The sequence below is a fragment of the Homo sapiens genome, chromosome 7 (assembly GCF_000001405.40).
Source record: "Homo sapiens chromosome 7, GRCh38.p14 Primary Assembly".
In the NCBI taxonomy this organism is placed as follows: Eukaryota; Metazoa; Chordata; class Mammalia; order Primates; family Hominidae; genus Homo; species Homo sapiens.
In genome coordinates this window covers 6,687,919-6,708,959 of record NC_000007.14, presented here as the reverse complement: position 1 = coordinate 6,708,959, position 21,041 = coordinate 6,687,919, and the positions used below count along the sequence as shown (strand labels likewise).

The window sequence follows — 21,041 nt, the reverse complement described above, 5'->3', positions numbered from 1 at the left end:
ATAGAATAACAAATCAGACTCTGATGTCTCTCACCCAACAGAGATTAGGTCTTTGCAAACATTAATCTCATTACAGAGATCACCATGTGATCAGACCATAAAACCAAATTCCTAGCCCAGCGCGGTGCTTCACGCCTGTAATCCCACCACTTTGGGAAGCTGAGGCGAGTCTACCACCTGAGGTCAGGAGTTCGAGACCAGTCTGGCCAACATGGAAAAACCCCGTCTCTACTAAAAATACAAAAATTAGTCGGGCATGGTGGCATGCACCTATAGTCCCAGCTACTCAGGAGGTTGAGGCAGGAGAATCACTTGAACTTGGGAGGCAGAAGTTGCAGTGAGCCGAGATCGTACCCCTGCACTCCAGCCTGGGCGGCAGAGTGAGACTTTGCCTTGAAACAACAAAAACAAACAAAGTCCCAATCAGTGATGCTAGCAATGTAAACAAATGCAAACCAAAGTAAAACACAGGATTGGTAAATGGGGAAATTACTGAAAAATGAGAAGCCAGCAAATTTCTACTGGCACTTTGGACTCATTCCTGGGAGCCAAGAAAAGATTCACCTGGGCTTCAACAGTTCATGAGGCACTCCAGTCCTGAGGTTTTCCTGGCTCAGTCATGTGATTCCATCAGGGACTTCTGCAAAGACCTGGAAAACCTTAAAACATAAAAGTAAAATCATGACTCTGATACAGATATAAAAATGAGCACATGCTAAAGATTTTATTTAATTCAAGAGGAAACAGGCAGATATTATAACTGGTTCAAAAGAGAATCTGAGGGCTGGACATGGTGGCTCATGCCTGTAATCCCAGCACTTTGGGAGGCTGAGGCGGGTGGATCACTTGAGGTCAGGAGTTTAAGACCAGCCTGGCCAACATGGTGAAACCCCCATCTCTACTAAAAATTCAAAAATTAGTCGGGCTTGGTGGTGTGCACCTGTAATCCCAGTTACTTGGGAGGCTGAGGCAGGAGAATTCCTTGAACCAGTGAGCCAAGATCTCGCCACTGAACTCCAGCATGCACAGCAGAGTGAGACCCTGTCTCAAAATTAAAAAAAAAAAGAGAGAGAGAGAGAGAATCTGAGAAACAGACATATTTTCAGATCAGGAATATTGAAATGATTATGTAAATGGAGAAATGCAGTCAAAACTGCATTTTCTCTAGTGGGGATTGTGGGAAGTCAACCAACTTCCACCAGACAGAACATAACTTGCATCGATTACCTACAGTTTTCAAAGAGGTGTAAAATACCTCAAAGATAAGGAACAGGGTTGGAATCAAGTAACATGGCTTTCTAAATGTGCTTCGTTTTCCATTAAGACGCAAATTTCTTCTTCTGCTTGCCTCATCCTCTTCAGGAAGTAGAGTTCTGGCTAATTTTTTTCTTCTTTCAATTCTGTACATATTCTCTGAGTTTTCTAGCTATCACTAATTCAAAGTGATTTGGAAAAGCTGGAATTCTTTTTCTCCTTGTTGGGGCGAGGATGGTATCCTGTCCCAGGCTAATCCTCTATTATTTCATCCATGGGCTCTATTTACTGAAGTTTTCGTTAAATGTGTCATTGTGATCATAAGCTAGCATGATGCACCCTCTTGTTCCATTTGTCACGGTTGCACATGGACATTGATTTTAAGCCTTGAGCTCTCCGGTAAGGCAGGACTGGCCCAGGCATGGTCTACGAGATGCTACAGGAAGCAGAGACTTTCTAGACGTTCCCTTAAAGATAGTCAAGACATCCCCATGAAGACGTTCCCTTAAACTAAGGAGAAATTTGAGTCTGGGGTTCGGCGTTGCCAATTCTCTTAGCATAGAGCCTCTTAACCGCTAGACCAGATAGAGACATTTCAAATGGCTCCTAAATTTGGGGAGCGCGTAGGCTCATGGGAAATAGAGTCACGGTATTTGTCCTGGGACCGGCGGCGGGTCCCGGGAGGCGGACTTCCGGTGCATTCCTGCGCATGTGCACCCCTCTCTGTGTGCGTGTTCGCGCATGCGCGCCGCGGCCGCAGTGCCCTCGCTTCCTGTGCGTCCCCAGGTCACCGCTCGCCCTAGTTCCCAGGCTTTGGCCTCCGGTGGGCGAGAATCGCGGAGCCTGCGGGGCTGGGCGCCGAAGAGCCGGGCCGGCACCCAAGCGGGCGCGGGGCTGTGCGGGCCAGGCGGAGGCTCAAGCGGGGATCCCCGAGCACGACCCCCGGAGCCGACGGCGCTGGGGCCCAAGGGGCCGGCCGGGCGGTGACGACGGCGGAGGCGAAGGGGCGGCGGGACCCGGGCCCGGCCCGTGTGCGTCCTCGACGGCCCGGCCCCGGCTCCGCAGGACGGTGAGCCCCAGGGAGACGGATCTGGGCTCCGGGAGGGACGCCCCGCCTGGATTTGTCCCGTAGGCCCGGCCCGGGCCCCTCTGGAGCAGAACGGCCTTGGTGAGGTGGACAGGAAGGGACCTCGCGAGCAGACGCGCGCCCGCGACAGCAATCCCGCCCCGGCCTGTCGGGAGCGGTGGGGCAGAGGCTGCGGAGCCCCAGGAGGGTAAGTCGTGGGTTTGCGGGCCCGGGGCGAGAAGGGCCTGGGTGAAGTCACCGCGTGTAGGGCACCTTAGAGTGAGGGACAGTGGAAGGTCTCGATCGCTTGCAGGAGTGACGTGTGTTTGGGTTTGAAGGCAGGGTCCGGCGAGGACGAGGCTTACGGGGGCGTGGGGGGTGTCACCAGCCTCAGCTGCGGACGTTGTCTCCACTCCCCCCTCACCCCAGCAGCCCTTCCTCCTCTCTCTGCTCCAGATTGCTACCGTATCTAAACGTCCGTCAGCACCTCTGTTCTCTCATTTAAGTGCTGATTCCCCCTTAGGTCTGCTCTTGTGGAATCATACGTTGTAGTGCAGGAACAGCCTGCAGGAACTATCTCTTGCTGCCTCATTTGCTAGGGGAAGGGCCTTAGCAGGTGGGTGACTTGTCCGAGGTTTTGTGGGTGGAGTTGCTCATAGTAGAACTCTGGAGTTTTATCTCCCAGGCCAGTGTTCTGTCCCCCGTATCCTAGTTAAGTGAGCGTAAGTTCTTCAATAAAAGATCCTTTTGAGTAGCACACTGAAGTTTCTGCAAATAAAGACTCAATTATGCCGACTGTATTCCTTTATTTAGGGCATCCTGTGGATTTTCTGATCTTTATTTAAAAGAGTAAGAAAATAGATGAGTATTACAGAATTCATTTTTTGTTGTTTGTTTTTTGTTTGTTTGTTTGTTTGTTTTTGAGACAAGTTTCGCTTTGTTGCCCAGGCTGGAGTGCAATGGTGCCATCCCAGCTCACTGCAACCTCCGCCTCCCGGGTTCAAGCGATTCTCCTGCCTCAGCCTCCCGAGTAGCTGGGGTTACAGGCGCCCGCCACCACGCCCAGCTAATTTTTGTATTTTTACTAGACATGGGGTTTCACCATGTTGGCCAGGCTGGTCACCAGAATTCCTTTTTAAATCTTGCATTTAATGATGGCAGATTATTTCAGTAGGATCCAGTATTCATTCACCATGAGAATCTCATCCACTCAGTCACAAGGTAGCCATGTGTGAGTTTCAAATGTGCAGATCGGTCCCCCTCCTGATCATTTTCCAATCCCTTCTGAAGGCTTAAAGGGACAGTCTCCCACAAGATGTACTTCTTGGAACTTTCTGTGTAGGTTTTGGGCGGGAGATGACCGCCTTGGCAGGCCAGACCGCTCATAACGCCATGGCTTGGGTTTTCCTTCCCCAGATCTGCCTCCGCTTTCACAGTCCTCCAGATTTTTCCAAGAGCAGCAGAAAATGAATAAATCCCTGGTGAGTGTTTCTGTTCATGTATTTATTCTCTACTCTGATTTACAATACACCTTAGGAGGAGATTAAGGGTTCAAAGTTTAAAATGGGAAAGTAGAAATAGATACAAGATTTGGTCAGACAGAACAGTAGCCATCAGCACCAAGCCTTTTTATCATATTCATATGCGCAGATAGCGTGATCCTTAAAGAGTTCTTGAAGTCAGAGTACAAGCGTCTTATGTTCTTGGCATTTATCACAAAAAATGATAAATACCATCCATTCCTTGACTTACATTGACCGTAAGCAGAATCACTTTTGTTTTTGCATGAATTTTAAAGATTCCTCTGAGATCATTATCAACAGCTTTCCTAAATAATAACCCTTGAACCATTGCAATTCTTGCCTTTCTTTTTTTTTTTTTTTTTTTTTTTTTTTTTTTGAGACCAAGTATTGCGCTCTGTCACCAGGCTGGAGTGCAGTGGCGCTATCTCAGCTCAGTGCAACCTCCACCTCCCAGGTTCAAGTGATTCTCCTGCCTCAGCCTCTGGAGTAGCTGGGATTACAGGCATCTGCCACCACACCCGGCCTTTTTTTTTTTTTTTTTTTTTTTTAAAGTAGAGACAGGGTTTCACCATGTTGGCCAGGCTGCTCTCGAACTCCTGAGCTCAGGTGATCCACCCGCCTCGGCCTCCCAAAGTGCTGAGCTTACAGGCATGAGCCACTGCGCCCAGCCCATAATATTTCTAGTAACTAAAACATTGTTGTCTCAAAGGTAGATTCTTTTTACTGCTCTATCCGTTGCAGAAATGGCCTTCTCACCCTTAAATTAGTCTCCCTAAATATTTTCTTTTCTTTTTTTTTTTTAAAGATGGAGTCTCACTCTGTTGCCCAGGCTGGAGTGCAGTGGCGCTATCCCTGATTCAAGCGATTCTCCTGCCTTAGCCTCCCGAGTAGCTGCGATTACAGGCACCTGCCACCACACCCAGCTCATTTTTGTATTTTTTTAGTAGAGACGGGGTTTCAGAAGCACTTGGGCCAAGCTGGTCTCGAACTCCTGACCTCAAGTGCCAAGTGATTTGCCCACCTTGACCTCCCAAAGTGCTGGGATTATAGGTGTGAGCCACCATGCCAAGCCGCCTCCCTAAATATTTCTCTTAGTTTATCTGGGTTGCACAGCAGAAAGGACCATAATAAATCTCTGGCATAGATGCCCATTTTATCCCATAGCCTGTGGTCTTGGTCCTGTCCCTACCACTCCCCTGACCTTGTTGGAAAAGGTTGCCAATAATCCAGCACATGCTCTTAGTGGACATTTGCATCTTTGCCTTGGCCCACTCTGCAGTTTGCTCTGTCAGTTTGAGTGCCCTTTCTCTTCTTGCCTGCTTCCTGAAATTGATGATTTCTTTGGTCTTCATGTGTTGGTGTCCACTCTTGGCTCACGACTCTGTACCTATCTGATGTCACCCTCCTGTGCTTCTAACTACCAGCTCTGTGTTGGTTTTCCCACATAGAACTGTCCAGCCACCTGCTTAGCATTTCTTTGGAGTGTGTCCAAAGGACCCCTCAAGGTCATAGATGCAGCAGGTTCAGAATAATTATTTGGAGCCCCCCCACCTATGCCTTCTCTTGTTCCTATTGATTCATTGTTCCATCGTCCAGCCTGTAGCCCTATCGAGAAAGATGGGATTCTTTCTAAAGTTGTCCATTTTCTGACCTCGCGATTGTTTTGAGTTTGTACATGTCATATTCTAGATGGTTTTTATCCTGTCCCCTATCCCCTCCCTGCTGTTGTAAAAATAGCTTATTTTTTGGCCTCTCTACTGTTGTAGAGATTTTCTTTCTATACTGCTACTTTCCTCCACAAGCCCAGGCATATTGCATTTCCCATGTCGAGTATTTCTCCTGAAGTGTTCATCATATCGTGCTTCCCCCATGGGAAAAGCACTTGCGTGGCTCCCAGAGTGGCTACTACGAAAATGAGGTTGCCTGAAGCTGGGATGGGGAAGACTGTGGGTAAAGCAGGCTTGAGAAAAGGCCAGAATTAGGTTTCAGATGTTTAAAATTTGGGCTGTGTTGGTATGCAGTGAGTGGCAGCATCAGGAAGGCAGGTAGGGGTGTGTGTGTGTGTGTGTGTGTGTGTAGTTTGGGAGCTGTGTTAGCTGTGTTAGTATGCAATGAGTGGCAGCATCAAGAAGGCAGGTGTGTGTGTGTGTGTGTGTGTTTTGGGACACGAATCTGGTGTGTGTGTGTGTGTGGTTTGGGACACCACTCTAGGGGGTGTGTGTGTGTAGAGTTTGAGACACAACTCTGTTGTGTGTGTGTGTGTGTGGATTTTGAGATATATCTCTCTGGGTGTGTGTGTGTGTATTTTGACACACAAATCTGCTCGGTGTGTGTGTGTGTGTGTGTGTGTGTGTGTGTGTAGTTTGGGAGACACATCTCGTGTGTGTGTGTGTGTGTAGTTTGGGAGACACATCTCATATGTGTGTGTGTGTGTGTGTGTGTAGTTTGGGAGATATATCTCTGTGTGTGTGTGTAGTTTGGGAGACACATCTCGTGTGGGTGTGTGTGTGTGTAGTTTGGGAGACGCATCTCGTGTATGTGTGTGTGTGTAGTTTGGGAGACGCATCTCATGTGTGTGTGTGTGTGTGTGCAGTTTGGGAGATAAATCTGTGTGTGTGTGTGTGTGTGTGGAGTTTGGGAGACGAATCTGGTGCGTGTGGAGTTTGGGAGATGAATCTGGTGTGTGTGCGTGCGTGTAGTTTGGGAGACGAATCTGGTTGTGTGTGTGTGTGTGGAGTTTGGGAGATGAATCTGGTGTGTGTGCGTGTGTGTAGTTTGGGAGACGAATCTGGTGTGTGTGTGTGTGTGTGTGTTTGTGGAGTTTGGGAGACGAATCTGGTACTCTCCCATGTGCAGTCTGGTAGAGAAGGAGGAACTGGGAAGGTGCTACTGGTCAGGCTAGAGGGAGAACCAGGAGCGTGCAGTTTCTGAAGCCAAGGGAATGAGAAGCTTCAGGGACAGGTGATCAACTGTGTCAAATGCTGTTAAGAGTCCAGCCCAAGGAAGACTGAGAAATAGTGCTGGGATTTAGCTCAGGGGAGGTCATGTGACTCTCTGAGGCCCTGTGGCTGGATCTGTAAGGGAAATCCTGATTGGAGAGGTTTAGGAGAGAGTGGTAGAAGAATTGAATTTGGTCTATTGAGAATTTTTTTTTTTTTTTTTTTTGAGAAATTTTGCCCTAAAGGAAAAAGAGAAATTGGATAGTAGCAGGAATAGGAGTTGAGGTTAAGAAAGGATTTTTCATTTTGTTTTGTTTTGATGGGAGAGATAATAGTGGGGTGATTCTGTCGAGAATGAGAAATAGTTGTTGCCCATGGAGTGAGAATGGCTGTGGGGCCTCGAGTCAGCCAGAGGGGACAGAGATGCAAACAGTTGGAGGTGTCCCATGAGGTGGTTAGAGAAGAGGGTAGACATAGCATTCCTATTTGCTTCTTTTCTCAGGGAAATAGCTCGTCAGCCAAGAGTGAGGGGTGACGGCCGGGTTTTGGGAGAGAGCAGCTGCATCCTAACCACCCCCACACATGCTCAGCCAGCCGTGAGGACCATCCTTTCCTTCTGTCTGAAATCCCAGCTCATTTCTCACAATGTAAATGTAACATACTACTCTTTTGGGAGCTTGTGTCATGATACTGGTGTTTCTCAGCTGAAAGCGATTAGAGCAGCAGCCAGTCTACCACACAGACACCTGCTGTTCTGGGGCTTCAGGAGTCCCAGAGGAAGCTCCCTCCTTGCTTGGCTCTGTGTCCTTCTGCTCAGCTAGCATTTTGTCTTTTTTTCTTAGACACTAACATCATTTGTCTTGGGGTTTGGGATATGATTTTAAGAGGCACTTCTTTCTCTCAAGGTGCTTATGTTCTCCTTGGAGGAGGTAATTCATGGATGTAATTATGGGAGATCATGGGAGTCGTTCTGGTCAATGCCTGGGAAACTCTGAAGTGATGATGAAGCAGAAGTCTGATTTTAAATGCATCCTCAGCCGGGCATAGTGGCTCACACCAGTAATCCCAACACTTTGGAAGGCTGAGGCAGAAGCATCACTTGAGCCCAGGAATATGAGGCTGCAGTGAGCTATGATTGCACCACTGCACCCCAGCCTGGGCAACAGATCAAGATCCTGTCTCGAATGAATGAATGAATGAATGAACAAACGAACAAACGAACAAATGAATGCACCATCAAAGTATTGTGATTCAGTCATTCAAGGAAGGGAAAGGTGGCATTTGCCAGCCCTGGAATAATTCGGGTTAGTGGCAGAGGCTTGTAAAGGCACTCAGGAGACCAGCATTAGGGGCCTGAGTAAGTCTCCTGGAGGGCTGGTGAGATTTTTGCTTCCTTAGAATTTGGACTTCCTGTTAAGAGACTGAGGGATGGGAATGCAGATAAATACCCAGATGGACCCAGGAGCCCCCAATGCTGGACTGAGTTTTGGTTTTGTCCTACAGAGAACTTCAAGCCTTCTAATTTGAAAAGTGTGTCATCTGTTGAAAAGCTGAAATTAATAGAGACTGACATTGTGAAAAACAAATGCAGTGGGGGTTTGAGGGGATTGAGTCAGTGACACTCAAGGGTGTCTAGCTGAGATGCTAGACAGAGGACTCTCCTAGCTAATGGGATTCTAAAAAGAATGAAATATTCTTTCTCAGGAAGATCACTTAGAATCTCTTAATGGAAAGACTCAAATATATACGATCTATAGGACAGAAGTGTGACTGAAATGGTTTGGTTATTTCTAAGTATGTTTCTGGTCAAGATCGTGTCCCTGGCACATATGTATATATATGTGTGTGTGTGTGTGTGTGTGTGTGTGTGTGTATATTTTTTTTTTTTCCTCTCAGACGGAGTCTTGCTCTGTTGCCCAGGCTGGAGTACAGTGGCTCGATCTCGGCTCACTGCAAGCTCCACCTCCCGGGTTCACGCCATTTTCCTGCCTCAGCCTCCCGAGTAGCTGGGACTACAGGTGCCTGCCACCACGCCCGGCTAATTTTTTGTATTTTTAGTAGAGACGGGGTTTCACTGTGTTAGCCAGGATGGTCTCGATTTCCTGACCTTGTGATCTGCCCACCTCGGCCTCCCAAAGTGCTGGTATTACAGGTGTGAGCCACCACGCCCGGCCGTCCCTGGCATATTTTTATTGTAAGAGGGATTCTGGTTTAAAATAGAGATTTAAAAAAAAATCGAAAATAAAATAGAGATTTTATGTGTTCACACTTATTGTAGTCATAGATATATGTGGTCTCTTTACTCATCTACTTTCATTTGTTTGCTTTCCTTTTGTGACTTTTCCTGAGCTGATGACTTTCTTCACATTTTTCCTCTTATGAGTCCTTGAAAGTCCTTTGCCCGTTTTCACCCATTGCACAGTGACCATCCTGACAGATATCAGGTGGACATACTAAGCAGGGACCTACCACTTGAATAAAGGAAACCAGGCTGACTTTCCTAAGAAATAAACAAGTTGTTATTGCTCAGCAAGGCAGGGCAATGCCATACGTGAACTTCGAGACTCTCCCGATCCTCATGGTGGATGACGTCTGAACAAAGTGTGCACAGAGTTTCTGGAAGCTCAGCTATTGCTCCCCAGGAAGTTCTCATCACCTGCTGGGGCAGTCCTGCACCTGGATTCATCTGGCTGGGGTGGGACCCACTTCTTTCCCCACCGTGTGTCCCATCAGCAGCTGGACACTCTCAGCCCTGATTACCCTCATCCTTCCCAGGCCAGCCAGGCCTGTCTGTGGATACGCCTATATCTAGAGCTGGGAGAGAGTGGCACGGCATCTCAGGGAGTCAGTAGAACCCAGCTTGCACTCATGGATCATTCCAGTCATTCCACATATGAAACCCAAGGTGTTCAGTCAACATCAGGAGTTTGTCATCATCTTACGTAGCTCTGAACATGACATGGCCTTTCCTTCCACACCTTCTACACCATTCCTGCTACCATATTTTCTTGAAATCATCTCAGCCTCTTTGTTCTTAACACACAGACACTGTTTTATGATTCTTTCTTGCCAATTACATAAATAACAACCACATAACCTTCAGTTGTTTAAACTTCTGTGTTTTATGGTTAATTTTCTGTCCTAATTTGGAAAGTGGTCAGAGCCACAGTAGAAAGTCAGCAATAACAGTAGATTTCATTGATAAATATGTGTTTTATCCAAAAAACTATGCTAAGTGCTTTTCGTGGATTAGTCCATTTAATACTGGTATTATGTATAGGTAGCATTATTCTCTTTATTTTAGAGGGGATGATATTAAAGGAAACAGTTATAATGGCTAGTGTGAGTACTTGTGAATGGGACACTTTATTCAAAAGATACACATTTATAGATGTGGTTTTGACAGTTTCCAGGTCAGCTGTCTGTTCCTCCTCAGGAATGTTCCTTTCTCCTAGAACGTGTACCATGGGAAGAAAGGAAATTTGGGGTTCCCAGCTGGGAATTAGGAAAACCTGAACCAAGCTATTACTGATAATTCATGTGACAGGCTGCATTCTGAACTGCTGTAGGCTTGGTCACTTGGCAGTAAAAATAAAAACTAGAATGTGTGTTGCCCAGCCTGTTTGTTATTTTGGTAATTGTGTCAAATATTGTGGGTTGGTTCCAGTAGTAGCTATGGTAGGAGCAGGTTTGAACAGGAACAGCAATTGAATTTCAGGGATGTTGAGTTTGCCATCTGGGACATATGTGTCTGGAATTTAGGAGAGAGGCCTGGACTGATGATGTAAATTTGGAAAATGTTGGTGTATAGATGGTAATTAAATTAGCCAGGAAGAGGGCTCACCATCAAAGCAGCAAGTACAGACAGCAAAGAGAAAAAGACTCAAGACAGCCGTAGGCCCACAACATTCAGGATGACTTGGAGTAGAGGAGGAGCCAGCAAAGGGACTGAGAAGGAGTGACCAGGGAGGTAAGAAGAGAACCAACATTATTAATGTTCTAGAAGCAAATTGAAGAATGTGCAAAGAAGCAGAGTGCATCCTGGGGTTCTGTGAGTGTCCCCAGGCCTGTGCTCCTCAGGGGTGAGATTCGTCCCTGCTGGTGTTAAGAGTTCCCAACAGCCAGGATTGTTTCTGGCTCACCGTGCAATCCCAGTGTTGTTTTTTTGTTTTTTGTTTTTTGTTTGATGTATACTGAATGAACCCCAGAACAGTGTATTTCTGATATGTTTGTTTCCCTTTGACAGTCTGTAACATAAAATAAAGGTATACAGTGTTCATGGTTAATTTTGCCAGTGAGCATGCTAAGATCTTGTACCTATGTGCCTATTTCACGTCACCCAATTCCAATCACGGTGCCATTTCAGGGGCCAGTGTCATTCAAGGACGTGGCTGTGGACTTCACCCAGGAGGAATGGCAGCAGCTGGATCCTGAGCAGAAGATAACTTACAGGGATGTGATGCTGGAGAACTACAGCAATCTAGTTTCTGTGGGTGAGGATAGCTTGCTTTCTCAGTTGCTAAAATATATGGGATTTCTCACAAATTTTATGACTTTAACTTAAAATTTGATGGGACGAATGTGAGTAATCTGTTTTTGGGCACCAGGCAGGGCATTTTGGTCTTGATCTCCCCCGTGAAAAGTTCTGATTTTGATAAGACACAAATGGAATTTTCCCTGTATGACAGAGACCCTGAAGCCAACCGGCCTGGGCTCAAGTTCTCTTTCATTTCTCATTAACAGGGTATCACATTATCAAACCGGATGTTATCAGCAAGTTGGAGCAAGGAGAAGAGCCATGGATAGTAGAAGGAGAATTCCTACTTCAGAGCTATCCAGGTGTGTTAGTGGAGGCAGTGAGGAGATCGGTAACTTGGGAGTGTTTTTCCCAGGGATTTTTTAATGGTCCCGAACCTTTAGAAGTGACTAGAAATAGTTGCTTATATGCTCTATGAACCTGAATCTCACTCCCAAAGACTTCTTCCTTCCCCGTAAGAACTTATGTTTATGGAGCTTTTCTGTGCTTGCCACTCCCAAGAATCGAATTCCAGTCACTTCTGTTGTTCTCTTAAACTTTGGGTCTTTGCTTGCTCTTCTAGCATTTTCAGAAACCATTATCATGGATTTTTTAGGTGTTATAAGTCTGACATTTAAAAATAACTTATGTGATTCTTGTGTTCTTCGTGTAACTTCTGGTTTTTTTTTTTTAATCTTTACCGTGCAGTGCCTGAGACTGTTTCTGGACCCTGTTCTACTTTGTACTTTTCTTTCTTTGAGGTTAGACTCCAAAGTTCCCATCCTGTGCCTAAGCCAGTGGATCCTGCTACTTGTCATGTGCACCTGTGCTTCATTGGACAGTGCTGCTCATTCCTGAGACCCAGCCCTCCTGAAATTTGGTGACTGCAGTACCTGGGTCTCCCTCTTTAACCAAATGCTCGTTTTCATCTTGTTTCTTATTTTCTGTTCTGTTCCCAATGCCTTGAATGATACCCTGTCATGGCAGGTGCTTAGTAAGTATCATATACGCAAATGAAGTCTGGTTTATGCTTCCACCACCTCCAGAAATGTCTTTAAAGGGTCTGTTTCTACCTACTGTGATTTCCTCGCATTATGAGTTTCTCAAAGGGTGCCTCCAGTGCCAAGTCTTTAGGCTTTGTTTTTTATTTTATGTTGCTCGCACCCAGGATGACATCTCTACCACCATTGAGCCTGGGCTCTAGTCTGGTATTTTCTGTGATACCAGTTACAGAGCTGCTCTTGTTCTCATCAGGCCTGGAAATTGATCATGACCTATTCCAAATTATAATTACTAATCACCTTTCCACCTCCCTTTATTTACTAAACTATACTAATCTCTTCTTCTTCTATAGTGGTCCCTGTGAAACCACTGAAATTCTCATCAGATATTACTGATCTCTCTGGATTACTGGATTTTGTCCAGTGTGAAATGTCTTCATTGTCCTCTGTATATCCTCAGTTTCCTTTGACTTAATGTAAACAAAGACTAGATGCTGTCATGCTATGAGTCCTAGCTGGATTTGCAGTATGTCTTCATCTAAAGTTTCCAGTTGATATCATCGCTAGCCTCACAAGATAAGCCTATAGTTGGTTACATTTTACTTCCTAAAGGGAATTTTAATTCCTTGTCCCTTAAGGATCTCAACAATATTAGGCCTGTATTACCTGGAAAAAGTAATTTTCTGTTGTTTCCCCAAAACTCTGACTAAACTCCGTTTGGTTCACACTCCTAATGTCTTCTCTTCATGATACTATTGTCCCTACAGCTTTACATTTCATTAGGGTGTGCTTTCCTTCCCCACATAACACATTCTTTAAGTCTGACCTCAAATCTTCAACCCCTCCCTGACTTTTGTCATGACTTCTGTATCTCCCTTCCCTCGACTTCAGTTTCACCTAGGGGTGATAGGATAAAGAAGTGACTCTGATTAAGTAATCTGTTATTCGATAGTGTCTATATTTTGCTTGAGCTGTTTTGCTCTTGGATCATAGTCCTGTAAGGAAAGGGGCATGTTATCCCTTGATGTAGTGTGTAACAGAGAGAGATATTTCTTTCTTTCTTTGATTATCTGAGAAGCTAGGCAGGTGAAAGAACTTTCTTGTCCATCCATTCAGAAATAATTTACAGGCAGTTACTTCTAAATATGCATGCCTGGGCCAAATGTGGTGGCTCACACCTGTAATCCCAACCCTGGGAAGCTGAGGCAGGAGGATTGCTTGCAACCAGCCTGGGTAACATAGTGAAACCCTGTCTCTACAAAAAAAAGAAAAAAGAAATAATGCATGCCTGGGTCACATCCCCATATATTTTGCAAGTAGTGGAAAAATACCTATATGATTCAGATTAAGAACAGCTTCTCTGATTTTTATTCAGAGGTTCAAAGGAAATAGGAAATAGGACCATCCTTCCTAGGAGAAAGGTTGTGGTTAGGAAAAGAGAACAAGGGCTGGGCGTGGTGGCTTACGCCTGTAATCCCAGCACTTTGGGAGGCCGAGGCGGGCAGATCATGAGGTCAGGAGTTTGAGACCAGCCTGGCCAATATGGTGACACTCTGTCTCTACTAAACAATTAGCCAGGCCTGGTGGCGCATGCCTGTAGTCCCAGCTACTCAGGAGGCTGAGGCAGAAGAATCCCTTGAACCTGGGAGGCAGAGCTTGCAGTGAGCTGAGATCGCACCACTGCACTCCAGCCTGGGTGACAGAGCAAGACTCCGTCTCAAAAAAAAAGAGAACAGCGCTGCATGAAGTAATTAAAACTCAGCATTTTACATGGAGTGCTGATGTTCCAATGCAAGGCTGAGTCACTTTGTATTAAAATGATTCTATAGACAGTATTCTCAACTTCAAGGGGAAATGGAATTGAGGTGAGAAAGGATTTGAGAAGTATTTTTTTCAAGCATGGAAATCCCCTACAAAGGTAGGTTTTGAGAAGATGAAGGCAGGAAGTCAAGCAAACTGAGTGAAACAATAAGGGTGGAGACTGTAGGTGAAATGTGCTGGGCATTGATCAGGCACACAGTGATCGTAGCATAAGGCAAGGATAAGAGATAGATCATGACCTATCTCTCCCAGCTTGATGTGACATGAGAAGGTGTAAAGTGCAGACCCACTTCCTCCAGAACAACTCTCTACTTGGACTTATCTTAGGAACCTCCTTGTGCAACAAATAGCTTGCTTTTCCTGCAACGGAATATTTTTGTTAGATGACTGTCATCCTAGCTTGGCAGCATATAGTGATCCCAGGTGGTGAAAAGTATTGTCTCTCAGATTTTTTTCTCATTTGATCTGTTGATATTTTGGCAGTGGGTTCAGGGAAAGCACAGGTTATAGGGGTTACGGTTGATATCGTTTCACTTAATGTGCATGATAGCAAGTACAGTAGTCAGGTTCATCCAGACACTTCTAAGGTAAGTAAAAATAAAATTGTTATTTTAGGAGCATGGTAAGGGATCTGATTTTGTTTGTTTGTTTTGTTTGTTTTGTTTTTTTTTTTGAGACAGATTCTCACTCTGTCACCCAGGCTGGGGTGCAGTGACACAATCTCGGCTCACTGCAACCTCCACCTCCCGGGTTCAAGCGATTCTCCTGCCTCAGCCTTCCAAGTAGTTGGGATCACAGGTGCCCACCACCACGCCCGGCTAATTTTTGTATTTTTAGTAGAGCAGGGTTTCACCATCATGGCCAGGCTGGTCTCGAACTCCTGACCTCAAGTGATCCGCCCGCCTCAGCCTCCCAAAGTGCTGGGATTACAGGCGTGAGCTACCACGCCCGGCCAGGGATCTGATTTGTAAGGTTTGTACACTAAATGCTACTCAGGAGTGGGAAAGCACTCACACTGAGAATTAAGTGATGGTAGTATGTCAGGGTGGGTCTGGCTTAAGCAAATGGTCAGGAGATTGAAAGATGGGAAGAATAATTGCTAAGCTTATCAAGCATGTGTTTTGTGCCAGATGCTGCTCTGAGCACTGCATTAACTGCTGCAATCCTACAACCACCTTATGAGGTAGGTGCCATTATCTCCATTTGGCAGATGAAGGATACTGACTACAGAGAATTGCTAAGTAGCTTGCCCTAGGTCACCTCACCAGAATTCATGCTATTAAATATACTGTTCAAATAGGAACAAGTAGAATTTCATGGTCAGAATGAGTTTAGCATTAAATCATAGCATCATTAGAATACTGAAGTTTCCAGTTGATCTCATCGCTATCCTCACAAGATAAGCCTATAGCTCTGTGGACTATTTTATATTTCCTGTAGGATATATATATACATTCCTGGGATTCTTCATCCAAGTGAAACAGAATTACAGGGCGAATGCCCTGGTTATAGGGCTGTTCCTTTAAACATGAGGAGATTTAGTTTATTCTACTATGTGGAATGAGGAAAGAAGGCAAAATAGTTTGGAAGGATGTAGTCTAGTGAAAATGCTACCACAAAAATCTTAGTATACAGTGCTAATGCCTTAAATTGTAATCTCTCTCAACTTGGTATGAAGTGATGTGGTATAAAGTACAGCTTTACCTCCCCCTAAATGAATCCCTAATTGAATACATCTTATGACCCTCCTTGTCCAACAGCACTCCTTATCGCTCTACCCTGTCAGCCATTCATCCTGCATTCTTCGCCTACCAGTCATTGTTCTGTGTTATATTTTATCTTCTATTCCCAGTTTTGAACAAAATATAAAGTAGATCAAAAGTGCATGTGTTTTTGTCAGTTTACTTCCCCCTTTCTCCATTCCTAGAGGGGGATGTGTGTGTGTGTGTGTGTTTGTGTGTGTGTAATTTTAAGCAAAAGCATAAAGGAGAAGAGTACACTTGGAATTATTTTCATCTGTTCATGAAGCTAGCATCTACTCACAATGAGATGCGTGTGTACAAATCATGAATCTCATTCCATATCATATATATATAGGAAGATGTACAAAAGTTTATTAATTTTGTCTCTCTTTAGATGAAGTCTGGCAAACTGATGACCTAATAGAGAGAATCCAGGAAGAGGAAAATAAACCTTCAAGGCAAACTGTGTTCATTGAGACCCTGATTGAAGAGAGAGGTAATGTTCCTGGTAAAACTTTTGATGTAGAAACGAACCCTGTTCCTTCAAGAAAAATAGCCTATAAAAATAGCCTCTGTGACTCATGTGAAAAGTGTTTAACGTCTGTTTCAGAATATATTAGTAGTGATGGAAGCTATGCAAGAATGAAAGCTGATGAATGTAGTGGATGTGGGAAATCACTCCTCCATATTAAGCTTGAGAAAACTCATCCAGGAGATCAAGCTTATGAATTTAATCAAAATGGGGAACCTTATACTCTAAATGAAGAAAGTCTTTATCAGAAAATTCGTATTTTGGAGAAACCTTTTGAATATATTGAATGCCAGAAAGCCTTCCAAAAGGACACTGTTTTTGTTAATCACATGGAAGAAAAGCCCTATAAGTGGAATGGATCTGAAATAGCCTTTCTCCAGATGTCGGACCTCACTGTACATCAGACATCTCATATGGAAATGAAGCCCTATGAATGCAGTGAATGTGGGAAATCCTTCTGTAAAAAGTCAAAATTTATTATACATCAGAGGACTCACACAGGAGAGAAACCTTACGAATGTAATCAGTGTGGGAAATCCTTCTGCCAGAAGGGAACCCTTACTGTGCATCAGAGAACACACACAGGGGAGAAGCCCTATGAATGTAATGAATGTGGGAAGAACTTTTACCAGAAGTTACACCTCATTCAGCATCAGAGAACTCACTCAGGAGAGAAGCCCTATGAATGTAGTTATTGTGGAAAATCCTTTTGCCAGAAGACACACCTCACACAACATCAGAGAACACATTCAGGAGAGAGACCTTATGTTTGTCATGACTGTGGGAAAACCTTCTCGCAGAAGTCAGCACTTAATGACCATCAGAAAATTCACACAGGTGTGAAACTCTACAAGTGTAGTGAATGTGGGAAATGCTTCTGCCGCAAGTCTACTCTCACGACCCACCTGAGGACCCACACAGGAGAGAAACCGTATGAATGTAATGAGTGTGGAAAATTCTTCTCTCGGTTGTCATATCTCACTGTACATTATAGAACTCATTCAGGAGAGAAACCCTATGAATGTAATGAATGTGGAAAAACCTTCTACCTGAATTCAGCCCTCATGAGACATCAGAGAGTGCACACAGGAGAGAAACCTTACGAATGTAATGAATGTGGAAAGTTATTCTCCCAGTTGTCATACCTCACTATCCATCATAGAACTCATTCAGGAGTAAAACCCTATGAATGTAGTGAATGTGGGAAAACCTTCTACCAGAACTCAGCCCTTTGTAGACATCGGAGAATACACAAAGGAGAGAAGCCCTATGAATGCTATATATGTGGAAAATTCTTCTCTCAGATGTCATACCTCACTATACATCATAGAATTCATTCAGGAGAGAAGCCCTATGAATGTAGTGAATGTGGGAAAACCTTCTGCCAGAATTCAGCCCTTAATCGACATCAGAGAACACACACAGGAGAGAAAGCCTACGAATGTTATGAATGTGGGAAGTGCTTCTCTCAGATGTCCTATCTCACTATACATCATCGAATTCATTCAGGAGAGAAACCCTTTGAATGTAATGAGTGTGGAAAAGCCTTCTCTCGGATGTCATACCTCACTGTACATTATAGAACTCATTCAGGAGAGAAACCCTATGAGTGTACTGAATGTGGAAAAAAATTCTACCACAAATCAGCATTCAACAGCCATCAGAGAATTCATAGGAGAGGCAATATGAATGTAATAGATGTGGGAAGGCTTCTCTGAAGTCAGACCTCATTTTATATCAGAGAACCCTTTCAGTATAGTGAATCAGAAACTCCTGCCTGAAGTCAAACACCTTGTACATCAGAGAGTTCACACAGGTTAGTGTGGACATCCCCTTGTGTGTTGGACTCATAATCTGAAGACTCACAGAATGGAAACCATGATTATAACAAGACCACATGGTATAACAATACTAGACTATAGACAAGTAAAAATTTATAAATATTAAGAATGTATATACATGTCACCATGGATTGGAACTGTTTTGCATATCAGGGAAATCATAGCCAAGGGGAAATCTATCAGTATAAGGAATGTGGAAGACATAATCCTTTGGAAACTGTTAATACTAAAAGATATGTTTCTGATACAATAGCAAACTTGAAAAAAAAAAAAGAAATAGAAGATTCCTGCTGTGAATAAACATACTTCTTGTGTAAATAGAAACTGTAAAGTCATCAGGATAGCTAGTTAAGTCGGTAACCTTAAACTCATGTAAGCAGTTCCCAAAGAACATAGGACTTATGTTTGGGGAGAGGGTTGTTTTTATTACAGTACATTACAGGAATTGTATGTTCACTTCGAATCATGTTTGAAAAAACGTTGTATCCTTATTTTGTAATTCATATAGTAAGAGTATTCTAAACAGCACTACATTAATATCATTTGATAGGTATAAAGTATACTTTTTCTTGCACTCTTCTCTAGGATTTAATGCATTGATCATTCTTAATGAACAATATCAGCTCTAAAGGACCAATGCTTTTATAATGTTTTCAACTGTATCTGAGTCAGCCAGAGAGATAAATATCCATGTATAAAATAGATAGAAAACTTTGCTTGGTAATTTAAAATTAATAATGCCAGTTTTCCAAGAGTGAGAAAATCATTGCACTCTATACAGTTTTAAGATATACTTAAAATATTCCCATTTGTATCTATTTTTTTTTCTACTGTTTTTTATTTGGACACTTACATAACAGTGCAGAGCACAATGCTGTGTAACATAGGAATTCACTGTGTTTTCATTTGATGTCGTACTGGTTTTAAACCTTGTGCTCTACTCCTTCCTGTTAATGAATTAAGAACACATTCTAACAAGGGTCTGTGGCAGACATTGCCGAGTGACTTTCTAACATAGGAATTCACTGTGTTTTCATTTGATGTCGTACTGGTTTTAAACCTTGTGCTCTACTCCTTCCTGTTAATGAATTAAGAACACATTCTAACAAGGGTCTGTGGCAGACATTGCCGAGTGACTTTCTTAGTCACTCCCTTACTCTGCTGGCGGAGTTTGGTTATCCATTTATCCTCAAAAGGAAGTGAGATAAATCCTGATTAGTTTTAACCAGTGACACTCCCCTTCTCGTTGCCAGCAGTTGATTTACAGTGGTCACAGGGCCCAATTCTAGACATAAAACAAAGGATATACCTGACAGACTACTTCTGGAAAAGGTTTTCTCAAAGGCCCAAGGATTCAAGCAAAGGGAAGTGGAATCTTGTGGTGAACAGTACCTTGTCTGGATGTGGTGCCTGGTAACCATCTTTCAGCAATGGATTATAGTTTAATCATGGCCTGAGCAGAAATACTGAAAGACCCTGAGACCTGGATGATGTCTTTGAGCCACCAAACCAAGCAGCCTTGTAGCCACTCCTCCTTTGGACTGTTTCTTTTGTGAGAGACTAAACTTATTTTTAAGCCAGTTGATTTAGGATGCTCTATTACTAATAACTGAAGACATTCTAATTGGTACAGACTGAAACCTTTATAGGAGTTATGCAGTTCAGAAGTGGACTTTAGGTAAGTCATTTATTTTAAGCTGTTGATATAGAGATTTATTTTCTGTAAATTTTGACGTAAATAGTTTGAGCATTAGAAATCAACTTGAAACAATAAAATGTATGCTTCCTTGAACTGTCATATCGTTGACCTGCAAAATTCACCTTTGGAACGTGACACAATGTTAGGCATACCTCCTTTTTTCTAATACATGGAATACATTTTGTTGGAGGTAATTTATGTGATTCATATACCACTGCTACAGTGTTAGCTGACAACATATAGTATGAGGTAAGGATCTAATTCTGTTTCCTCTCACATGATTACTTGATAGCTAAGCATCTGATTGGTTTACTGCTTTACCACTGAGCTGAAATGCCGTGTTTTCCATTTATTAAAATCACACATGGCTCCTGTTTTTGTCACTCAGCACTTTTTCTCCATATTCTTCAAGACGATTGTGAGTATGGTACGTAACAGGAATTACATCTGGTAAGTTGTATAGTTTTGTGTAGGAACTCTATATTCATAGCATATTTGTGGAAATGATACCTATGGAGGTTTCTCACACTGGTGTGTCATTATACATTAATTGTACAATATGCATTTTCAGTAAAATATTTGAAAACTGTAAATGGCTTGGCATTTTCTTCTTATCCTATGGATTGCCTGCACATCAAAGGGTCTGGTACGTATATAAGTGGTCCTGAACTGCCTCTTCAGTAATGTAGTCAGTGTTCATAGTAACATGTTTATAGTTTAAAAGATGCCAATGTTTTCATAAATTAAGAGATTTTTTTGGCCCATCTTAAAATGAAGCCCACCAGGAAATACATTCTTAAAATTATATTGCTTTTTTCTTCCTATCACAGAGATAACTACATCAAAAATAAATTGATTTTCCCTTCATTGAATATAAAGTCTATGATTCCTGCCAAATTGATGCACTAGCATGGGCTGCTGGCTTGTTACAGTGCAAGCCCGGAGGTGCCACGGAAATAAGAGCAGTGTTTGGGTCCAGAGAACTAAGGATGTGAATGGGGCTCTTTTGCGGGAAAGGTAATGGCAGACAGAACAAATCTTAAAGAGTAGTTGAATTGTAATCTTTTTCCCTATACATTTATGGTCCTCTGTAGTATGCCCAGGAGA

The 21,041-nt window shown here is 43.5% G+C and overlaps 1 protein-coding gene across 2 annotated transcripts, besides 3 other annotated features; it reads left to right on the top strand.

The window, feature by feature from the left end:
• Nucleotides 1,845-2,344: an enhancer, noted in NCBI's record as "H3K27ac hESC enhancer chr7:6746247-6746746 (GRCh37/hg19 assembly coordinates)". NCBI's record gives its function as "activates a minimal SCP1, AML or CMV promoter by ChIP-STARR-seq in primed H9 embryonic stem cells {active_cell/tissue: H9 hESC(primed)}" and the evidence as "EXISTENCE:reporter gene assay evidence [ECO:0000049][PMID:30033119]".
• Nucleotides 1,845-2,397: a biological region, named in NCBI's record as "H3K27ac hESC enhancer GRCh37_chr7:6746247-6746746".
• On the top strand, nt 2,013-20,527 carry ZNF12 (zinc finger protein 12). 2 transcript variants are annotated; one of them, NM_006956.3, is made up of 6 exons: nt 2,013-2,528; nt 3,737-3,801; nt 11,149-11,275; nt 11,526-11,621; nt 16,257-16,358; nt 16,473-20,527. In NM_006956.3, exons 2-6 carry the CDS (start codon nt 3,787-3,789, stop codon nt 18,110-18,112), a joined length of 1,980 nt encoding a protein of 659 aa, NP_008887.2. In that variant the 5' UTR covers nt 2,013-2,528; nt 3,737-3,786; the 3' UTR covers nt 18,113-20,527. The 2 variants fall into 2 exon arrangements, with proteins under 2 accessions (NP_008887.2, NP_057349.2); NM_016265.4 differs by having other exon boundaries at nt 16,257-20,527.
• Nucleotides 2,038-2,397: a silencer, noted in NCBI's record as "silent region_17957". NCBI's record gives its function as "represses an Ori minimal core promoter by ATAC-STARR-seq in GM12878 lymphoblastoid cells {active_cell/tissue: GM12878}" and the evidence as "EXISTENCE:reporter gene assay evidence [ECO:0000049][PMID:35858748]".
• Nucleotides 20,528-21,041: the final 514 nt, after the last annotated feature.

Coding starts and splice junctions, on each gene's coding strand:
- ZNF12 (NM_016265.4), top strand. Junction 11,276..11,525: donor CAGCAATCTAGTTTCTGTGG/GTGAGGATAGCT, acceptor TCTCATTAACAG/GGTATCACATTATCAAACCG. Junction 11,622..16,256: donor CCTACTTCAGAGCTATCCAG/GTGTGTTAGTGG, acceptor GTCTCTCTTTAG/ATGAAGTCTGGCAAACTGAT.